The sequence below is a fragment of the Homo sapiens genome, chromosome X (assembly GCF_000001405.40).
Source record: "Homo sapiens chromosome X, GRCh38.p14 Primary Assembly".
Classification (NCBI taxonomy): Eukaryota; Metazoa; Chordata; class Mammalia; order Primates; family Hominidae; genus Homo; species Homo sapiens.
Genome location: NC_000023.11, coordinates 35,042,989 through 35,065,685, shown reverse-complemented (window position 1 = coordinate 35,065,685; position 22,697 = coordinate 35,042,989). Strand labels below are relative to the sequence as shown.

The 22,697-nt window shown below is 39.2% G+C and overlaps 1 pseudogene, besides 1 other annotated feature; it reads right to left on the bottom strand.

Annotated features, from left to right (window-relative positions):
* On the bottom strand, positions 5,713–6,720 carry LOC392440 (MAGE family member B18 pseudogene; annotated as a pseudogene).
* Positions 20,354–20,561: a silencer, noted in NCBI's record as "fragment chrX:35063242-35063449 (GRCh37/hg19 assembly coordinates)". NCBI's record gives its function as "represses an EF-1alpha promoter that drives an FKBP-Casp9 reporter gene in an ReSE screen in K562 erythroleukemia cells {active_cell/tissue: K562}" and the evidence as "EXISTENCE:reporter gene assay evidence [ECO:0000049][PMID:32094911]".

The window sequence follows — 22,697 nt, the reverse complement described above, 5'->3', positions numbered from 1 at the left end:
GAAATTAGGTCCTCACCAGAAACCCAAATTTGTTGGGCTTTGATTTTGGGTTTCCCAACCTCCAGAACTGTGAGAGATAATTTTCTATTGTTTATAAGCCACTAAGTTTACGGCATTTTTGTTGTAGCCACCTGAAATAACTAAGACACCCTTACCCCGTGCAGTATCTGGTGGCAAACATAGACCAGCAAATACAGATATCCACCCTCTGTAGTGCAAAAATTCAAGAAGCATGAAAAGTCCGTCTAAGCTTGGGACATCAATTTCTCCCTCCTTCCAGCTACGTGTCCTCGTCCACTACTCATGCTATTCCTGGCCTGTCTCAACTATGTATCATTATTCACTAACCCCATTTATTTGCACAGTGCCAACCTCAGGGGACAGGATCCACTGTTCATAGGGGAAGAAATGCCTCTGTTCAGGAGACATAAAGATAGCCTTCAGCTCAGGTACATTGGCAAGAATGCATTGGGTCCCAGGGTCATCAAGAAATGTTGCTCCCTCAGGAGCCATAAGTAGTATTACTTGATATATAGGAGCCAACAATAGTCAGTCTGCTTGACAATATGTAGCAAGCAGTCTAAGGTAGGATGGGGTGTCTGATATGCTCTGGTTCTTTCACCCCGTAGACCTGTTCACTCAAATTATCCAGTAATTTTCATCAGGCAGTGGTGAGTAAGAGATATCTGAAGGCTATTCATATATGTTGTCCTGGATGCACCACCCAGATCCTCCACTTTGTCTCTTTATAGCTCCTCCACACAAGGCTGAATTCTTGATTCAGAACCCTGACTACTAGCCTGCCCAGACCTCTCTGGACTTGGTTGTGCATGGTGTCTCTCTCATGGACTCTGGAAATTCTTCTATCCCCTTTCTTCTTGATACTCCTCACTAGCTGAGAGTGTCATGTGTGGCCTCCTTCCCTGGCATTCAGTCATACTGACAAATGCTTGCTTTCCAGTACAAAGGGGAAATATCTTTTAGGCATCATAATTTTTTTTGTCTCCTGTGGCCTTGGCTGAGACATTAGAATTTTAAAGAATGGCCTGAGGAATCTTGTGATTCAGAATATTACTGCAGAAATCCAGCTTTACATGTGTGAAGTAGTAGGCAATTTTCTGCTAAGTCTAATTAGAAAACATTAAACAAATTAAAATAATGATATTAAAATTAAATTAACATAATTGTAAGACATTATCTTTCAACATATAAGTTTAACTAAAGGTTAAAGGATTGAAAACAATGTCTGGGAGGAGACTGAGCATTAAAAATTTACCTACTGGGTACAGTGTACACTATTTGGGTGATGGGTACACTAGAAGCCCAAATCCCATCACTACACAATATATCCATGTAACAAACCTACACAGGTACCTCCTGAATCTAAAATAAAATGAAATTGAAAAAGAAAAAATAATGTCTGTGAGAGTGCACAGTATTTGCATAAATTAATTTGTGAGAATATGAATTGGTAGAATATTTGTGGGATGACATTTTGGCAATATTAAAAAATAAATTTGCTCTATCTCAGCTTCTGCTTTGCTATGTTTTTCTTATTCACACTTGCCAAAATATTGATGTTTGAAGATGTTTATTTCAGTTCTATTAATTATATCAACTAATGGGAAACTACTTATGTGTCCATCAGAAAGAGAATTGTTAAATTATATTGGGAACTTACTTTAGAATTTCAAGAAAGTAGATAAAATAGTGAGATAGATTTACACATGCTGGCACGGAATGATGTTGTGGTCACTTTGTTAACTGACAAAGGCAAGTGGAAGAACAATATGTATATCACTACCCATTACGTTAAAACATTACAATATATTTTATAGCAAATCTATATATTAAAAAGCTTAACATTATTTTTAAAATTATACATACTAGGTTTTTTAATTGTAATTCCCTCTGAGGAGAAAGTTGAATTTTGAGGGAACATTATAGAGGGAGGGAATTGATTTATGTATGCTGTAAGAAATACTTGGAACAAGAATATATGCATTACTATTAGCTTTGCTGTTAAAAGATTTAAATAAGCTTATCAACATAAACAGTATGTCAGTATTAGATGAAGGAACTGCTAGCTGATGCAAAACAAAAACCTGAAATCTGAATGGCTTAACACAACAGAAGTTTATTTGTTTGTTCACATAAAATCTTACGTAATTTGGCAGTGGGTCTTTGCCACCAGGTGACTCACAAATCCAAGCTGTTTCCATCAGTAGTTCCATATCTCGACATGAGCTCTCCATATTTGCTACTGACTGGTAAAAAAATAGAGGCAGCCACCTGGATTTCACATGTCTTGGCCTATAAATGGCAAATATTGCTTCTGCTCATATATCAGTGGCAAAGATAGTCACATGACCCTTCCTAACTACAAGTGAACTAGGCAATGTAGTTTTTCCATGCACCCAGGAAATAAATCAAGACAGTATGTGGATGAGCACTTGCAGGATCTCTCATTACCTGTTACATAGCAGGTGCTCAAAAAAGAGCAATTATTACACTTTGTTAGGACAACAACCCTCTTTGTTTCCTGGAGGGGTTTCTGAGAAGGCCAAATTGGCCTTGCATTTTGCCAACTTTCTTAAGATTTTATTATGTGACAGATGCTTTCAAATAGAGAATTACATATATTTTTCAAAAGAATGCTTTAAATCTCTGAAGAAAGGGTTCATCCTTCTTCATTCAATAGTACCTTCCTGCACTTCCCTGTCTAATAACTTCTATAATATCAGTAGACTGAGTATTTTCTCCTTGCATTTGTTGCATGGTCATACTCTTAACGTGGAAGCCCCTGCTGCATATCACCCTAATGCTCCTGCCTGAACATCTGTACAGGTGCCATTAGACATATGGAAAACCAGGATTTTTTTTCTGGGGAAAGTACACAGACAAGAGGTAATAAAAGGATAGTGAGGTTTTTTTTTTTCCTTTTTTTTAAATTAAAGCTAACATATAGGACAAAAAAATCAATTCTTGACATCTCCATTTCTTCTACCCCCTAGAGGAACTCCAGAGTTTACCAAAATTCAGACTCAGGATTTACAGAGTTTTGTTTATACAGTATTTTCTATGGTCTTTCCTATTCTACCACTTAAGGGGGAGTCTTTGGATTTTGACCACCTAGAAAAGCTCACTTATTGTTGTGTATGTTCAGTGACCAGTCTCAAATGCAATACTGCATTAAAATCCTACTGCAAATATCAAGATGGTTTTAGAAACTTCTCTAACTTTACATTTGCATCCCAAGAACCAGTATATTCTTTGCCAAATTTGACTCTACTAACCAGCCCAACTATAAAATGCTTTGAGAATGTGGTGATGATGTCCATGGGGATGACTATGTGCCTAAACATCACTGTTCAAGAAAACTTCATATAGAAGGGGACTGTTGCCATCTGAGGGATTGCATGAGTGAGGGTACACCAGGAGATGTCTGCACGAAGTTTTGGTTATTGTAGTTATGTTAGAAAGAAGGAAGGTGATTTTGGGCCGCCTGTTCCACTGGAAGCAGGTACAACCTTTACACGAGCGCACAGCAAAAAGCTGGTCGGCAGGACAGGTTCCAGATTTGGAAAGGAAAGAATACAGGGTAAGATCTAGGGAAAGGGTGCTGTAATGTGCAAAAGTAGTGGGACTGCAAACCTGTGCCAGCTCCTGAGCAGAGTCAGTTCTCAAGACACTCTGGGGCTAGGAGCAGCAGTACTTTAGGTAAATGAATCCTATAAACAATTCCCAGTTGTTTTTGATTCTCATTTTCACATTCTTTCTCTACACCTGCTTTTAGTGCTTTGGCTTAGTAGTACCTTGTGGTCCTTCTTTTTATCCTCTGAGAGGCATTATAGAGTCAGGAGAAAAGGAATGAATTAACAGACAGAATGTCACCTTCAGGCTGGGAGGAGTGTAACAGTGCTGGCTTTAGAAAAATTCAGACCAGAGGTCCAGTGCTAGCTCTTTCACATACCATGTGAAATAGGACATACTACCAAGCTCTCGGTGTCTTACCATCTTCCTCTGTTAGATAGTCTTGATAAATCCTGGCTTGTATATAAGACTGTTGGAATGCACATACTGTAGGTAAAGCATCTGCCAAAGCATCTGGAATGTATTGGGTCTTCACTGACTGGCAGTTAGTACTATGATTATTTTTGACCACAGACACAACCACTTTCTCATCTGGGATTTGTTTATCCAGGAGATGTCAGAAGATATTCAATACTCTAGGACATGGCACACCAAATCAGCCAAAAACTTTACCTAGCATGAAATCTTCAGTAAATCTTCACCATTACAGTATATATTATTTAATTTGGCTTTGGGGGAGTATTTCCCAAATAAGTGCACTTGAAATCCCCTAGAAATTGTGTCAAAAACCAAGCCCTTTCCTCCCTCCAGTTGCCCTTCCAGCAACCCATCTCTGATTTCATCCATTCTCTCAAACAAAAAAATGTAGGCCATGCTTACAGTTGCCAAATTATATTCAACATAACCTATTTAAAATGTTCTTTGAATGGAGTGGACTCTGGATCTCCCAGCCCTTGGCAGACTTCCAGTCCAGTGACTTCTGCGTATCTCACCTCAAGAAAGTATCACCCTTATTTTGCGTAAACTCTTTGAACACGATGTGCATAAAATATCTAATTTGTGCACTGTCTTGTCTTCAACAGCACTGGGACAAACACACAGGACACCTACCATTCTTGTTTCAGGTGCTATCTGGTTTATGCATAATCTCAAAGTAACTACTGCTAACAACAGTTTTCCATTCTAGGCTTAATTATCTCAACACTGAGGGTCCGGCCCCTGCTCGTCACTCCCACAGCCTCATCTAGTGTACTACCCCGGTTAATTTAAAATTACCCCCAATGAAAGACTTGCAGTTTCCAAAGGCCTCTGCCTGCCTTGACTCAGGGTATTTAAATTTTAGCGCTCTCATATAGATCCCCCTACCCTGCCACACCTCCTGACTCTTTTTTAATTTTTATTTTGTATTGAATAAAGGATACTCACCATCATCTTCATATGACTGCTGCTCTTGCACTCTAAAGTTCTATGGGCAGGTAGTGCATCTTGCTTCTCTTAGCATCCCCAGTAAAGTGCTTTACAAAAAAGACATGTTCACTTAATGTTTGGGAAATAAATGAACCAATGTACACAGGGTCTGATTTATTAAGATTTATGTCTTATACATTCTTAAATAAGCTAAGCAAATGCATATATGTATCATGTAGTTTCACAGAAAAACTAAAAGAGATAGGCAAAAACAAGAATTGACCATCTTTTAGGTTTTTTTTTCTTTGTCCCAACTACTTTGCTGCTGAGTTCACAGTTGCAAGGAAATGTCTATTATAATGCTGCATTATCTTTTCCCAAATAAAAAAATAAAATGATCTGTTTCATAGTTTATTTTACAAACCAGCAAAACTTGTATTCTTAAACTTCAAAAATGGTAATAAATATATGAACAATGTCATTCATAAATGTAGATTCTGAAGCTAATGAAATGTCATATTAAAAGTAACAGCATTTGAAATCTACTGCCCCCCTCCAAAAGAAAAGCCTCCAAGTTCACCATCTAGAACAGGGATATGAAGATGTTATATACTATCTCCCCTACAGCCCCACCTCAAGCCTCCACTACTTAGAAGGCTGATGACTCTCTTCAAAGAAAAAATAAAGAATCTGCTTCAGACTACACTAGGGGTGGGAGAAGGTGCTGAACCTGGTCCTGGAACTTGCCTTGGCCATGGCAGTAGGGCTAGCCCTAGCTGCAGCTGTGGCTTGGGCTCTGTCTGATTCATCTCTCAGAGCCTCCTGATACTGAGATGGGAAGCACTTGGGGTCAGACTCATGAATCCTGGTAAAAAAAAAACTCCAGCAATCTCATCTTGCTGATTTCAGAATGGGCTCTTGGACCCCACAGGAATTCATAGCATGGAGGATCACTGTTGGGCACCTGGCAGTACTCCAAGTACTTTTCCTGCACCAGATCTTTGGTGATAGACTTCCTTGGCTCACCAAAGATTAAGTATCTCCCCTTGGAATATAAGTTCACCATATTCAGCACTTCCCAGATCTCCTCCTCAGAGGCACAGTTGCCCTTCATGAAGATCACACTCGGGGTGATAATCAGGAGGCCAATCTTAGGCATGTCCTCATCACCACTGAGCCTTGCATCATAGGTGAGGCCCAGTTTGTTGACAAGGGAGTAACTGTGGCTGGTGGGATCAACCTCCTTCACATCAACAGCAAAGACCAGCTCCATGCACTCAGAAGCTCTCTTGAAGATCTCAAGAAATTCATCCTTGTACTCGTTGATGACAATATCCAGCATGTCTGCCTTTGTGATCAGTTCTTTCGTTTGATATTTTTGCAGAAGGAACTGCATCAGCACAGTCACTTCTCATCTACAGGGTCAATAGGCAGGTTCTCAGTGTCTTGTGAAGACTCTAAAGAAGCTGTACTATCCTCCTCTTCTTGGCTGCTGGAGCTCTCATTTGACTGGCTTGTTGAAGTGGCAGTGTTGACAGTGGAAGATGAACAGGCATTTCGAAGACCCTGGAGTGTACAGGGTGTCTCAGCAGCAGAGAACACCTCCAGGTTGCGAGGCATTAGAAAATGGGAGGAGGAGGGAAATGTATCCTCCATAATCTTGGATACCTGCACAACCTCTAGGCCCTGGGTCTCACTTCAGGCATGGTGGTGTTCACGTGTTCAATGCAGATTCTCCTGACTCTGAGACATGGTTACTCTTGAAGGTGGTAGCAGGCAGGAATGTGGGCAGGAAGCTAGATGACAGTGAAGCCCAACTTGGGGATAGAGGGAAGATGTGAATGGCCTCATCTGGTAAACTCAACGGTTGGTGGCTCCAATAAATGCTGCCTCCAGCAGTTTTTTTCTTGAGGGCAGTGCTCTAGAGCCTCACAGGTCTCCTGTTCTGACCTGTAAGAAGCTAAAGGAGGAAATGAGGATGCTTTTCAGGGTGCCGCTGGTCAACTCAGCACAAAGATTCCCAGAGCTGACCACAGGACATATGAGGCTCTGTGGAATCCCTTCGTTTTGCAGTCAGTGGTTCCCTCTGTCCTTGTTCAGAATCCTCACTGTGACCCAAGGGAGTATCTGGGACTCCCACCTCTACTGACCCAAGAGCTATCACCTCAGAAAGAGCTCTTAATTTCCCTGAGATATTTAAGGTAGATGGAATTGAGGGAGTACCCCAGACTCTCAACAGCTTTTTCTAGAACCTTTAAGCCAGGAAAGCCAGAGGGGCAACAGATTCTACAGGAAGGAAGTGAGAGGGCTTCTCATTAGGCCATACCTGTTTGGGCCTCCCAGAGGTGACAGCAAGTGGCAGTTGTCTGTACAGATTTTGCTGTTCTGAGGTATGTGATTCTCTCGGTCATCACTCAGGGTTATCACTTTGCCCCTTAAAGGGGCTAGGATGCCTCCCTCTGCTGACTTGACACGGCAACCCTCAGACTACTAAAGACAAAACCAGAAAGCACTAAAGTCTGATAGCTATTCTATGCCCTACCAGATACCAGATCTGATAGCAGGGACAGGGCTCTTTGGATCTTCTGGAGTGTGTGGTTCCCCAGTCATCACTCAGTGTCTTGCCTTGATGTTTGGCAGGGGCTGAAATTCTTGCCTCTGCAGACTGAAGGTCACACTTCTTAGACTATGGTACTCACCATTCTCTCACTCTCCAAGCAAAAGACAAGAAAAACCACTTAAGGCCATTCCTCCTTTCTGCAGGGAGAACGACAGAGTTGTGAGGGGCCTTCTTCATTTGGGGGTAGAGGTCCACTCAGATCTCACTCAGCATCTTACCTTGACTCTTGGAAGTGTCTGAGATTCCTCTCTCTGCTGAATAAGGCCTCCCCTCTCAGATAAAGGCATTCGCCATTGTCAGACTAGTGAAGCAAAAGTCAAGGAAAGACACTACCCACAAACTCTCACCCTCCCAGAGGTCACAACAGAGTTCTGAGTAACCCCTTCCCTTCTGAAATGGGTGGTCACCTCAGTTCTCACTCAGAATCTTACCTTAACTCCTGGCAGAGTCTGGGACTCCTCCCTCTGCTGACCTGAACCAGCACTCCTCAGAACAAGTCTCACACCTCCCTGCAAACACAAGGCAGAAGTCAGGGGGCAACTCAGTCTCAATCATTCTGGGGTCTCCTGGGACTGGAGGAGGGTCAGGGATCTTATCTGTGAAACCCCCATGCTCCACGTTGGTGGTAGCCTCATTTTTCACTCTGTGTCTTATCTTGAAAGTCTTGAAACTCAGTAGTGCTGGGGCCTCATCCCTCTGCTAGAGGGAAGTGTCATGTGTGGACATATTATTAAGGAGTTTTCTTAGCAATGTTTTCTCCTGTTGAAAACATTGTGTCATTTTATATAATTACCAAATGCAGAGTTCTAAGAGACAGCATGGGCCAGCTGGGTTGACGTGTGCCTCCTAACTCCTGATCACTCCATAAACAATTAAAATACTAAAGTAGGACAGAACCTCAGAAATCGTTATTTTCTGGATGGAGAGCCTGGAGCATAGGGAAGTTCTGAAGAATTTTGCAAAAATGTTGTTACTGGTCAGAATTAAAATTTTGTTAGTGATCAGAATCAAAATACTAAACTGGTGCTCTATGACTATGTTCTCACTGTGAACATTTCAAACAATGTCGTCAAAATGGCATTCTCTTGTGCCTTCTCTTCAATCCTCTCCATCATGCCCACTATTATATAACCTAATTGTAAGTTAATTTTGTATGAATGTAAATGTGAACTTGACTTATGTAAATGCAATAGTAAAGTACATATTGTTTTGCTATTTGCTTTGTCTGCCAATTAATAATCCATTTAGAAAAGCATTCCATATCAATCTTCAGACTAACCTTAGAGTCTGAAAAAAAGGTATTATTTCATCATTATTTGCATTGAGGTGCCCTTGGTGGCATTCTATATATTGTTGATATTTCTAGATTTTATGAGCAGTCTATATACAGGCACACGTTGTTTTATTGCACTTCACTTTATTGCACTTTGCAGATACTGCATGTTTTACAAATTGAATGTTTGGGGCAACCCTACTTTGAGGAAGTCTGTGGCACCATTTTTCCAACGGCCTGTGCTCACTTCTTGTTTCGGTATCACATTTTGGCAATTCTCACAATATCTCAAGCTTTTTCATTAATATTATATCTGCTATGATAATCTGTGTTCAGTGACCTTTGATGTTATTATTGTATTAGGTTGGCACAGAAGTAATTGCGGTTTTTGCCATTAAAAGTAATTAAAAGTAATGGCAATTACTTCTGCGCCAACCTAGTAATTGTTTTGAGACACCAAAAACAGTACCCATATAAGAGGACAAATTTAATCAATAAATGTGTGAGTTCTGACTGCTCCATTGACCAGCCCTTCTCTTATCTCTTTCTCTCTCTCCTTGGGCCTCCTTCCCTGAGACATGACAGTATTGCAATTAGGTCACTAAATAACCCCAAAATGGCCTCTCGGTGCTCAAATGAAAGGGAGTCATACCTCTCTCACTTTAAATAAAAAGCTAGAAATTATTGAGCTTAGTGACGAAGCCATGTCAAAAGCCAAGATAAGACAAAACTAGGCCTCTTGTGCCAGTCAGACAAGGTGTGAATGCAAAGAAAACGTTCTTGAACAAAATTAAAAGTGCCACTCCAATATACACACAAATAGTAAGAAAGTGAAACAGTCTCATTTGTAATATGGAGAAAGCTTGAATGGTCTGTACAGAAGATAAAACCACCCACAACATTCTCTTAAACCAAGGCCTAATCCAGAGCAAGGCCCTAACTATCTTTAATTCTAATAAAGGCTGAAAAAGGTGAGGATGTTTCAGAAGACAAGTTGAACCCTGGCAGAGGTTCAGGAACTTTATAGAAAGAAGCCATCTCCATAACATAAAAGTGCAAGGTGAGGCAGAAAATGCTGATGTAGAAGCTGCAGCAAATTATCCACAAGATCTAGCTTAGATAATTGATGGAGGTGGCTACACTAAACGGCATATTTTCAGTGTTGACAAACAGCCGTCTATTGAAGGAACATATCATCTAGGACTTTCACAGCTAGAGAAAAGTCAATCCCCTGCTTCAAAGCTTAAAGGACAGGCTAACTCTCTTGTTAGCAACTAAAGAAGCTGGTGATTTTAAGTTGAAGTCAATGCCCATTTATAATCCTGAAAATTCAAGGGCTTTCAATAATGATGATAACTCTACTCTGCCTGTGATCTATAAATAGAAAACCAAAGCTGGATGATAGCATTTCTGTTTACATCATGGTTTACGGAATGTTTTAAGCTAACTATTGAGACCTACTGCTCAAAACAAAAAGATTCTTTTCAAAATATTACTGCTTATTGACATTGTGCCTAGTCACCCAAGAACTCTGATGGAGATCATCCATTCCATAGCCCATGAATCAGGGAGTAATTTTGACTTTCAATTCTTATTATTTAAAAAATACATTCCATAAGGCTTTAGCTGCCATAGATAGTGAATCTTCTGATGAATCTGGGCAAAGCAAACGGAAAACTTTCTGGAAAGAATTAACCATTCTAGATTCCCTTTAGAACACTTTTGATTCATGGGAAGAAGTCAAATTATCAGTATTAAGAAGGGTTTAGAAGTTGATTCCAGCTCTCATGGATGACTGGAGGGGTTGAAGACTTTAGTGGAGGAAGTTACTTCAGATGTGCGGGAAATGGCAAGAGAATTAGAATGAGAAGTGAAGCCTGAAGATGTGGCTGAATTACTACAATGTCTTGAGAAGATATGAACAAATGAAGATTGCTTCTTATGGATGAGCAAAGAAAGCAGTTTCTTAAGATGAAATCTACTCCTGGTGAAGATTCTGTGAATGTTGTTGAAACCACACACACACAAAAAAGATTTAGAATATTTTATAAATTTCATTTATAAAATAGTGGCAAGGTTTGAGAGGATTGATTCCAATTTTTGAAAGAATTTCTGTTATGGGTAAAATGCTATCGAACAGCATCAGGTGCTACAGAGAAATCTTTTACAAAAGGAAGAGTCCATCAATGTGGCAACTTTCATGGTTGTCTTGTTTTAATTAATTGCCACAGCTACCCCAGCCCTCAGCAAACACCACCCTTGTCAGTCAGCAGCCATCAACACTGAGGGAAAATCTTCCACCAGCAAAAAGATTCTCACCTGAAGGCTGAGATAATCATTAGCATTTTTTCTCAATAAAGTATTTTTAATTAATGTATGTACATTTTTTTCTTAGACATAATGCTATTGCACACTTAATAGAGCACAGTATAGTGCAAACATAGCTTGCATATCCACTGGGAAAACAAAAATTTTTGGAAATTTTTAATTTCATTGTTCACTTTATTGCAGGGTCTGTAACTAAACCCATAATATCTTTGTGGTATGACAGTAGAGATCTACCTTTTTAAAAAAGTAAAATAGATGGTACTTTAGTTCATTTGCATTGCTAAAAAGGAATACCCGAGGCTGGGTAATTTATAAAAACAAAAGTTTATTTGGCTCATGATTCTGCTGACTGGAAGACTGGGCATCTGGTGAAATCCTTAAGCTGCTTCCACTTATGGCAGAAGGCAAAGGGAGTCAGTGCCTACAGAGAGCACGTGGAAAGAGGAAGCACGAAAAAGGGCAGATGCCAAGCTCTTGCTGACAACCAGCTCTTGTGGAAACTAATAGAACAATGAAATATACTCTTCCCTCTTCCATCAGGAACAAAGGGTATTGACTTCTCTCTAGCTATGAAAGTCCTAGATGATATGTTCCTCCAATAGACGGCTGTTTGGTCTAGACTGAAAATGTGTTATTTAGTGTAGCCACCTCCATCAATTATCTTAGTTGGATTTTGTGGATAACTTGCTGCAGCTTCTACATCATCATTTTCTGCCTCACCTTCTGCCCGCACCCCCTGGAAGGCATTAATCTATTCATGAGGGCTTCACCCCCATGACCCACGCACTTCCCATTAGAACCTGCCTCCAGGCTGGGCGTGGTGGCTCACGCCTGTAATCCCAGCACTTTGGGAGGCCAAGGTGGGTGGATCACGAGGTCAGGAGATCGAGACCATCCTGGCTAACACGGTGAAACCCCGTCTCTTCTACAAAAATACAAAAAATTAGCCGGGCGTGGTGGCGGGTGCCTGTAGTCCCAGCTACTTGGGAGGCTGAGGCGGGAGAATGGCGTGAACCCGGGAGGTGGAGTTTGCAGTGAGCCGAGATCAGGGGCCACTGCACTCCAGCCTGGCTGACACAGTGAGACTCTGTCTCAAAAAAAAAAAAAAAAAAAAGAACTTGCCTCCACTATTGGGGATCACATTTCAACATGAGTTTTGGAGCAGTTAAATATCCAACCATAGCATATGGTTACTTCTCTAGTTAAAACTCTCACGCATATTTGTCCTCAGACATTTTCATGAATACCAAGAGTGTTGAGATATCTGATTAGTTTGCTAAGTATTGTTTGTGAGAGTCAGTGGACCATTCTTTCCATGGGTCATAAGAAATGTGAGAAGCACATAAATAAAATGGTTGAGTACTGCTATACTGTATCTTTCTATTATAGACTTGCCTCTACATTGCATTTCTTGCTCTTCAAGGATGGTCCACAAGTCATTACTGATCATAGTGATGAAATATACTCCTCCCTCTGCCAGTAGGAACAAAAGGCATAATGGTAGCTTCTGCTGATTGAGTGACAGGAACCTGGGATATTGGGCACATCTGTGGCGACTTCCTGGAAACTGAGCTGTGTGTAAAGAAGTCTGCTTTGGTCCTAAGAGCATCTTCCTGACCCAAACTCAGACGGCTGCTGTCAAGTTCTACATTTCTTTCAGAATAAGCAATAACAACTGTTGCAGCCCTCCTTGCTAACTAGGAGCAGAGGTCCCGAGCAAGGTGGTACAGGCTGTAATTGGAAGGAGGATGGGGTGCCTCTCAAGTTTTCATGGTTAACACTATCACCTTATTGCGACTGGAATAAAAAGCTGGACAACCTGCTGGCTAACAGTGGTCAGTCCTCAGGGTCATCCAGCTGAATGGAGAAATCCAGTAGTGCATTGAAAATCTGTTCTGGGAACACCTTATTGCTGAGCAGAGTTCATGTGATTTCTAGTTGTGGTGACCTAAAAAATTGCCTTAAAAATTGCCTAATTGTGTGTTGTGAAGCATACACAAAATATGATAATGTGGTCTTGATGGCCAATAGTCAAAGCCTCCAAAAAAACGTCCAGTGAGAGATTTTCCATTTGTCCTTTGAGAACTTTTTTTATTTTATTCCTATGCTGCCTTCAGATAAAACAAGCTCATCACCTAATCAATTTTTTCATGGAATTATTTTACAGCCTTTTAGGTTTATTTTATTTATATTATTTTTCTGAGAGTGGAATATGAGAGTAAGGTAGAGTATATCTTTTATGCATTCATTTCATTCCCTTTATCCTCTCTCATGGACTATATTATTAATGTAAAATATATTTTGTTGCTTTATTTCTTAAGTATTTGTGGATTGAATAAATAGATTATTCAAGGAATAGGTGAAATTAATGTCAGCCAGAAATTTAATGTTTTATTATTCACTGTTTCCACTATTTGATTCTGCACTATGCCTCGTTTTGAAGCAAAGGTACTTTACAATGGGTAAAATTCTGAATTATACTGTTTCATATGACATGTTCAATAACATATTAAACACTTAAAATTGACAATGACCATGCTACATTAATTGAAAAAGCTGAAATAGAAACTTTTTTTTTTGCAAATGTAGCACATGAATTTTAACAACAGTTCTTTTAATGTGTTTACTGTTCTATAAAAGTATAACTTGATGATTGTTACTGGAAATCTGCTCTATTAAAAAAGGTAAATTAAAGCATTAAATTACTTTTTCCTTGTTACTCAGATGAAAATAAAATGTCAAAATGTGAATACTGGGCCGGGAGCAGTGGCTCACACCTGTAATCCCAGCACTTTGGGAGGCTGAGGCGGGTGTATTACTTGAGGTCAGGAGTTTGAGACCAGCCTGGCTAGCATGGTGAAACCCCATCTCTACTAAAAATACAAAAAATTAGCTAGGCGTGGTGGCAGGGGCCTGTAATCCCAGCTACTTGGGAGGCTGAGGCAGGAGAATCACTTGAACCCAGGAGGCAGAGGTTGCAGTGAGCTGAGATCGTGCCATCGCACTCCAGCTTGGGCAACGAGAGCAAAACTCTGTCTCAAAAAACAAAACACAACAAAACAAATGTGAATACTGTTCATATAGCCTGTTATTTAAACTATCATTTTTGTGTGTCATGAATGACATGGTACATATTATATTTAATGTTCACATGCCACTTTATGTTAAAGAACTTAGTATCGTATTTACATTCACTAGGTTATTTATATCCTATGCCACACATGTGTATTTATAAAAACCATAATATCTTCTAAAGCAGAAAGGTTATTAAATGTTACATTACACAGGTTGTATATTCACACAGAGGTAGTCTACCTTAACTATCAACTGCTAATAAACTGACTGTGACTGGGTAGCACAAAATTATCTGCCTCAAGTATATAGGTTCCATCAAAATGGTGAATTGACATGATTATAGGTTAAGAAAGATTTAGTAGCTCACTGAATTTTAGAGGCTTATAGGACCTTGATGACTACTTGACTAAATAACACTCATATTTACAAGGAAAATCTTGCCTTAGTCCAGATGGGCTGCTATAACAAAAACAGCATAGACTGGGTGACTTACATTCAACAGAAATTTATTTCTTACAATTCTGGAGACTGTAAGTCTTTGATCAAGATATTGGCAGATTCAATGTGTAGTGATGGTCCACTTCGTGCTTCATAGATGTCCATCTTTTCACTGTGCCTTTACATTATTGAATGGGCAAGGCAGCTTTCTGGGCCCTCTTTAGTAAGGGTAAAGATGTTTTTCATGAGGGCTCCCCTTCATGACCTAAATACTTCCTAAAGGCCCCACTCTCAGATACCATCTTATTGAGGGTAAGGATTTCGACATGAATTTTACGGGGATACAAACATTCGATCTATAGCAAGTTGATACCTGAATAGATAAAATGACTTGGTCAAGGTCACTAAATAAACTACACTCATATTTTATTAATTAAATTATCATGTCAAATGATGAATTTTGATTTAATTTTCACAATGTGATCTAAAAATCTCATAAAAACTTATTTCCATGATCTTTCAGTTAAAACTTAGACAAACCCACAGTAAAATATCAAACAAACAAAAAGCTCAAAATATAGATGTCTTTACTCAGAATCTTCCAGGAGCACTCCCTAAGAGAAAATTTGTGTGGTGAGAATATGCCCAGGAAAAAATCAGTAATAAAGTAGGGACAGCAAGATAGACAAGGAAAATTAACCAAGAAATTTCAGGTGAGGGCTCAACCTCATCCTATGGAGAGTTTTGGAGCATGAGTTACACTTTAGAGTTTGCTTTACCTCGTGGCAAAGGAAATGGACTTTTATAATACCACACCAATCATTGGCTATGTGCCACTCCAGGTTTTTTGGGTGTTAGGGAAACGTGAGGAAGGCCAGTTGTAGACATTTCTTACTCTGTTCAGGCAAGGAGACTGCAGTGTCCAAGAGCAATCTTTTCAGGTCAAAGGTGCAAACTTTTACTAGCACAACATGCAGAAGTTAGGAGATGAGCACATAGAGTTGGGAAAAGGGATCTGAGAGGATCGGTACAGGGCATCAACAGTGTCTGCTAAAATAAGCAACCTGGTATTGTGGGAAAAACATGGACTCTGGAGACAGAGAACTTATGTTCTGGCCTTATTCATCAGGCATAAACTTGGGCACATTACTTGGGAAGTCTCTTACACAGATGTTTGTGAATAGATCCTTTTCATTTTTTACTCCCAAATCCTAGCATAATGCCTGGCACATAGATGGCATTCAGGAAAAAAATGTTGAATGAATGAAACCGCTAAACCTATTTTTAGCTCTAGTGAGATTCAGTTGTTTTTATTGTTATTGTTCTGTGCTACTTAAAAAAAAGTCTCCCCTTTTTTTTTAACACAGAACTTTGCTTCCATGGTTTTAATTCACATCTTACTGAAACACTATCTTTACCCCAAAACTGACTCTGGGATTAGTTTTCACATCATAAATGTGTGTGTACATATGAATATTTATTGTTGTGTATGTGTATATATATGTATATATGAATGCTTAGCAGCAAATTTGTATGTGCTATATATAATGAGAAGATTAGCAGCAATCTGTCACTAGTCAAGAAAGAGCTTAAGATTGTTTTCCTGCTCTAATCAGCCAGATCCTAGAAAGCAAATTTGAAGTATGGACCATAGATTTAAATTCTCTATAAGGTTATTAACAAAAAAATAGAAATAAATTTGCTCAACCATTTTTTAAATAATCAATGTTGACCTACCAAGTCAGACTTAAATGGAGAAGCCACGGAAAATAGAAATTATGAACTTATTGTTCATTGCCAAAAAAGATGAGAGAAAATTTAAATTACATTCACTCTGGGAGGCCACAGCAAAACTTATTATAAAACACTGTTACTAGGTTGCTCTAAAATATCTTTGATTATTTTTTTCACTTCATCATTCGTCTCTCTTTATGCATTGATGATTTTAAGACAGTCCTTTTCAAACTGATTCAGCTACCTGAGTGGTGAAATTCACAAACCCATATGTGCAGAAATACACTATAACCACAGGTAACATTTATTGAGCACTTACTTGTTCCCTGTATCATGATAAAGATGATCTCATCTCATTTCTCATTTAATCCCCAGTACAGCCCTATGTATTAGGAACTACAGTCATCTCCATTTCACAAATGAATAGATGGAGATTAAAAGAGGTGAAATAACTTGACCTCTTAAGGATTAAAAGAGGTTAAGTAACTTGGGCATGTAGCTAGAACAAGGAAAAACCAGGATTCACACACAAGTGATCTGAAACCAAAGACTCAGCTTCAGGAACCAAAATGAAGAAAAAGTTTGCAATTCTATATTTGAATCTGGGGAGCCCAGTCTGCTTTAAAGCGTGATAAAATGAAACTACAGAGAGAAGACTCTCCTCCTCTAATTAATATAACTAGCATCCCCAGTGAGACAAATCAGATTATTTTTCATTCTCCATTACTTTGTCAGGGTATCCTGTTGACCTATTCTTCACTCGTAACTGCAGTGTACATAATTGCTGGGAAATAATGTCACAGGGGTTTGAATAATGAAAACATGTGAAAGTTCCATTTGGACTACTTAAACACAAAAAAGCAGTTAACTTAATCTGAATGGATTGTTGAATTTGCTGTATTCTCTCATTTTAAAGCCAAAAGTTTTAAGAAAGTTTTTTGCTTACTTTTTAAAAGACAGATTATAACAACTCCATTTTAGCGTATATGTCTCTTTTCAATAAAAGTAGAGTGCTAGACAAGTCTTAATCATGCCATTTTCACTAACGAAGAAAATTTAGAACAATTTTACTACCTGTGATATGAACATGCAATTATTGACCAAGAAGCTTCCTGAATTATTAAAGGAAGTGCCATCAAGTGAGGGGAGGGCAAAGAAGCCAGCAGAGCAGCAACCATCAATGAGAATTTGAAAGCTTCACAGAAGAGGCACATCATCAAATCAGACTTACGCCTCTGTGCACTAAAGTAGAGACTAAAATCTCTGACAGCTCACATTACAGAAAGACTTGCTAGTGAACTGGAAATCCTACACTTCATCCAAAATGCCAGGCTTACACTAGGAAGGATCACAAATCTTGCACGAAAACAGACCCTCACATTGGAAGCGTTAGTCCAAGTCAAGTAGGAAGTTTTGTTTTTCTATGTAAATACTAATTGTGGTGATCCTGGGGACATGTGGATTTGGGGTAAACACAACCTGCAGTGGCAGCTGAGAGAATGAGGAGAATTTTGTATCGAAACCCCATTATGGATGTTGCATTATTAGTGGAATCTGTGAATTACATCTATCCCAAGACTGGTTCTTTATTGCTAATAACCCATATTCATAGACCAACTTTAGATGGAAAAGGCAGTCATTTATCTAAACTGGGCTCCATTCTTCCCTGTGCTGTATACCATGCTATAATTAAGTTAGTGAAGGCAATCTAATTCCTAATGCTCCAAGCACAATGCTCCATGTTTATGGTGTTCCTAGGTCTGTCTACCATCTTTTCTCTGGTCATGAAAACTAAATAAAAACAGGTGAGGTAGGAATGGTGATGAGAATTAGCATCAATCACCTTGTTCTCTAGTTCTCATACACACAAAATTGGGAAGTAGAAACATTATTTTCACAGCCATGGTAGGGCGATTGCACAGAAGAATTCTACCAGTTCAGGCAACAAGCTACAGGAATAGTAAAAGGAACAGAGCAGAAAGCCATATTTCCTACTGAGATTTATGTTGGAAAATTGTTGCTGCCAGGATCATGGGTTATTCTGAGACATTTTCTGAGCCTCTTCTGAGTTTATGAACAAGACCAGCTTTGCAGTGTCTGAGAGTCGCAGGATTACTGTTCTATTTTTGGTGTTAGAAGCAATTAATCATGGTTCTATGTCACCAACAAATAAAAAATATTTTTCTTTTAGACAGGCAGGGAAGTTGGAAAGGAAGGCAAGAAGAGTGAGTGTTCCATTCAAAATACATCTTTATTTATTTTAGCTTCAGTGCAGGATGTTTTTATTTTACAAGAACACTTCGAACACAAGAGCTGAAAACCCTGAGGCAAGGCAGGCCCACTACACTATAATTCTGTGGTCCCAGTCATATGCCCTGCTAACTCAGAGATGTCGTTAGTCAGTTTCTCTCACAATAGTAATAGCACAGGCATTTTACTTCCAGTGGAAAGACACAGTGGTTCCCAAATCTGCAACCCAAAGCCGTGACTGGGTATTCTGGTTGCATTTATCTTTCCCCACCCTTAGTATTTTATACAATCTAGCTCCAGTTCTGCTTATGAATTTTAGCAAGAACCGATTTCACAAAAGCTTGTCCCAGAGTGCTTCAAATGCTTTCCAATAGAGGTTGTATGTGACATTTTTTTTCCCTAATGGAAAAAATGAAATTTCAAGGGCCCAGACTTCACTTATTTTTGCCCAACTTTGAGGTTTGGTTATGAACAGGATCTTTGGAAGAAAGCACACGGACGCTGTCAGCAATCTTAACTGCCTGGCTGTATCCTGTGTTGTTCACCAATGGAAATGGCTAGATTGAAAATTTTAGCTGAGCCAAAACATTTCCATTGTCTGCAACTTAACACATAAACAAAAAGGAAAAACAAGAAACTCTATCCAGGAAAGTGTATTTTCTTTAGCACAGTGTGTGAAGCAAAGAGCAACAATGAATATGTTTTATTTATCTTTGTCTGAGGGAGAAATATTAAATTATGTCAATAATAGATCTATTAGTTTTACTATTACTATTTATTATCATTGCTTATTTTGTTTTATAGCCCAGGGATTTTACAAAAAGTCCTGTAAACTCAAACTGCTGTGTTTAATGTTGCTCTTGCTCTCCTATAGTTTACAGAAAATTTTCACTTACATTTGAGTTCATTTGTGTAGCATTTCACTTTAATCAAGGCTGTCTGACTTATTGTCAAAAGTGAATGGAAATGCAGTTTTAAATCCATTTATGTCACAACTTAAATTGAAATAATCCCGGTATTCAGTAACCTCCAAGGATGTTTTCATCAAAGTATGTCCCATACATTTTTGCCCCCAATAGGCTTGTATCTATGTTTCATAGAATCAGATCTCATTGCAGATAAAGTAAATTCTCCTTTTGCTTTCTGTTCTTCAGTCACTCAACAAGTGTTTGTTAAATATCCATTTTGAGCAACTCACTTAACGTCCTCATGCCTCAGACTCTATTTCTAAAGGAAGGTATTAGGCAAGATAATGTCTAAGATATTGTGAACTCTAATGTTACATTTATAATTTTGCTATAGGCTTAGGTAAGTTCTAAAAACTGAAAACAATTATATATAGGAATACATATCATGACACAATGGAAAGATAATGGACTTCTGTGAGCCACAGTTTTGTCACTTAGTGCTATGGTCTGTATGTGTGTGTCCCTTCAATATTTACATATTAAAATACTATTAGGAGGTGGGGCCTTTACAAGGTGATTAGGTCACAAGGGCTTCACCCTCACGGGTGAGATTAGTACCCTTATAAAGAGGCCTGAGAGGCGGGGAGCGGTGGCTCACGCCTGTAATCCCAGCACTTTGGGAGGCCGAGGCGGGTGGATCACGAGGTCAGGAGATCGAGACCATCCCGGCTAACACGGTGAAACACCGTCTCTACTAAAAAATACAAAAAATTAGCCGGGCGCGGCGGCAGGCGCCTGTAGTCCCAGCTACTCGGGAGACTGAGGCAGGAGAATGGCGTGAACCCGGGAGGCGGAGCTTGCAGTGAGCAGAGATTGCGCCACTGCACTCCAGCCTGGGCGACAGAGCAAGACTACGTTTCAAAATAAATAAATAAATAAAGAGGCCTGAGAGAGCTTGTTTGTCCCTTTCACTATGTGAAGACACAGCATTAAGGCAACAGCTTTGAAGCAGAGAGTAAGCCCTCACCAGATACTAAATCTGTTGGCACTTTATTTTTGTACTTTCCAGCCTCCAAAACTGTAAGCAATATATTTCTATTTTTTATAAATTACTCAGTCTAAGACATTTTGTTATAGCACTCTGAATGGTCTAAGAGATTTGGTGAATGAGTACAATACTCCTGTCCTCACAACATTGTCTAAAGATTTAAATCAGAATAAATAGAAAAGTATGTAATACATGGTAGTTCAATAAACAACAGTGGCTGATCTTTTTTGCCTTTGTTAAAATTACTTACACTCCAAGTGTGAAGAGAGGATCTGTGCAAAAAAGAGAGACATATAAGAATGCAACGTAAAAAAAAAACACTGAATGAAATGAACAATTTATACATAATAGACATCTTAGATGTTTTGCAACAAACGGATTCATATGAAACTTAGCAGCCCTAGCCTTGCTTACTTCTAAACCATGATATTTACTGCTTCCTGATTATTGCCTTGACTTGACATTTGTTTTTAGTACTCCTGATTAACCCTTTGTATATTAATCAATCAAATAAGATCTGAATCTATTTCCTCATACCAGGATCTGAGGAGATATTTAGATCAAATGTAAGAGCTGTGGATACCATGTGAAATTTAATTTCTGGATTGAAAGGTAGACGACCTGCCGAAAGGCTAGAGCTTGGGGCCTGAACACAGCTAGAAAGACCACTTCTTCAGCCTGATCTTAATTTTTTTTGTTCTTTTTTAGATGGAGTCTCGCTCTGTTGCCCAGGCTGGAGTGCAATGGCACGATCTCGGCTCACTGCAACCTCTGCCTTCTGGTTTCAAGCAATTCTCCTGCCTCAGCCTCCTGAGTAGCTGTGATTACAGGCACACACCACCATGCCTGGCTAATTTTTGTATTTTTAGTAGAGATGGGGTTTCACCATGTTGGTCAAGCTGATCTTGAACTCCTGATCTCGTGATCCGCCCACCTCGGCCTCCCACAGTGCTGGGATTACAGGCGTGAGCCACCACACCCAGCCAACCTGATCTTAATTTGTAGATTCATCAATCTGTTCTGTTTCCTCACTGGGCCCTGACAATTCATTAAAGATAGAACAAAAAAAAATAAAAATCAATAAAAAAGCATGAGAGCAGAAATCCTTTATCAAATATTTTTGTTTTGACACAGGCTGGGGGACAGGCTAGAGTGCAGTGGGGTGATCATTGCTCACTGCAGCCTAACTCCTGGTCTCAAGGGATCCTCTCCCACCTCAGTCTCCCAAATAGCTAGTACCACAGGCATGCACCACCACACCTGGCGGGTTTTTTTTTTTTTTTTTTTTTGAGAGACGAGGATCTTGCTCCATTGTCCAGACTGATCTTGAACTTCTGGGCTCAAGCAGTTCTTCCCCATTGGTCTCCCAAAGTTCTGGGAATACAGGCTTGAGGCACCATGCCTGACCTCAAATATCTGTAATGAGACTTTAACAACAAATTTATCAAGACCTTTAAGATGCTTAGAATGATGAAAATCTAGAGTTATCCATAACATCTCAGTTTTATGTAAGCCAAACTACTTTATGTAGATGGCTCTGAGTTATTTTGAAGGGTCTCTGAAAATCCCAGAATAATGACATTTTATAATAAAAAGAAATCCAGTCCAACAACCTTATTTTTCAGACGAAGAAACCGAGTCCCAGAGAAGTGAAGAGCAAGGCTCTGCTCTGCCTTTCCCTGCCTGTGTCTTTGGGAAGTTACATACCATTTCCAACTTTCAAGGTACTTATATGTTAAACGGGGCTAGAATAGTAAGTATCCCATAATGCTAGGTGAAACACATGTGAAATGTTTAGCAAAATGCCTGACATATTAAATATTATCATTATTATAAGAATGAGGAGTAAAATCTGTCTTTATAATACCATACTCTGGAATAGTGAATAGGAGAGCTCTACTTCATATATTAGTGAAGTCGAAGAAGAATTTAGATAAGCCTTTAAACATGCTTGTATTAAAGATAGCAATACAGAATATTTTCCTTAATACTTACTTCAAAGAAATAAATCTTTTTGCTAAA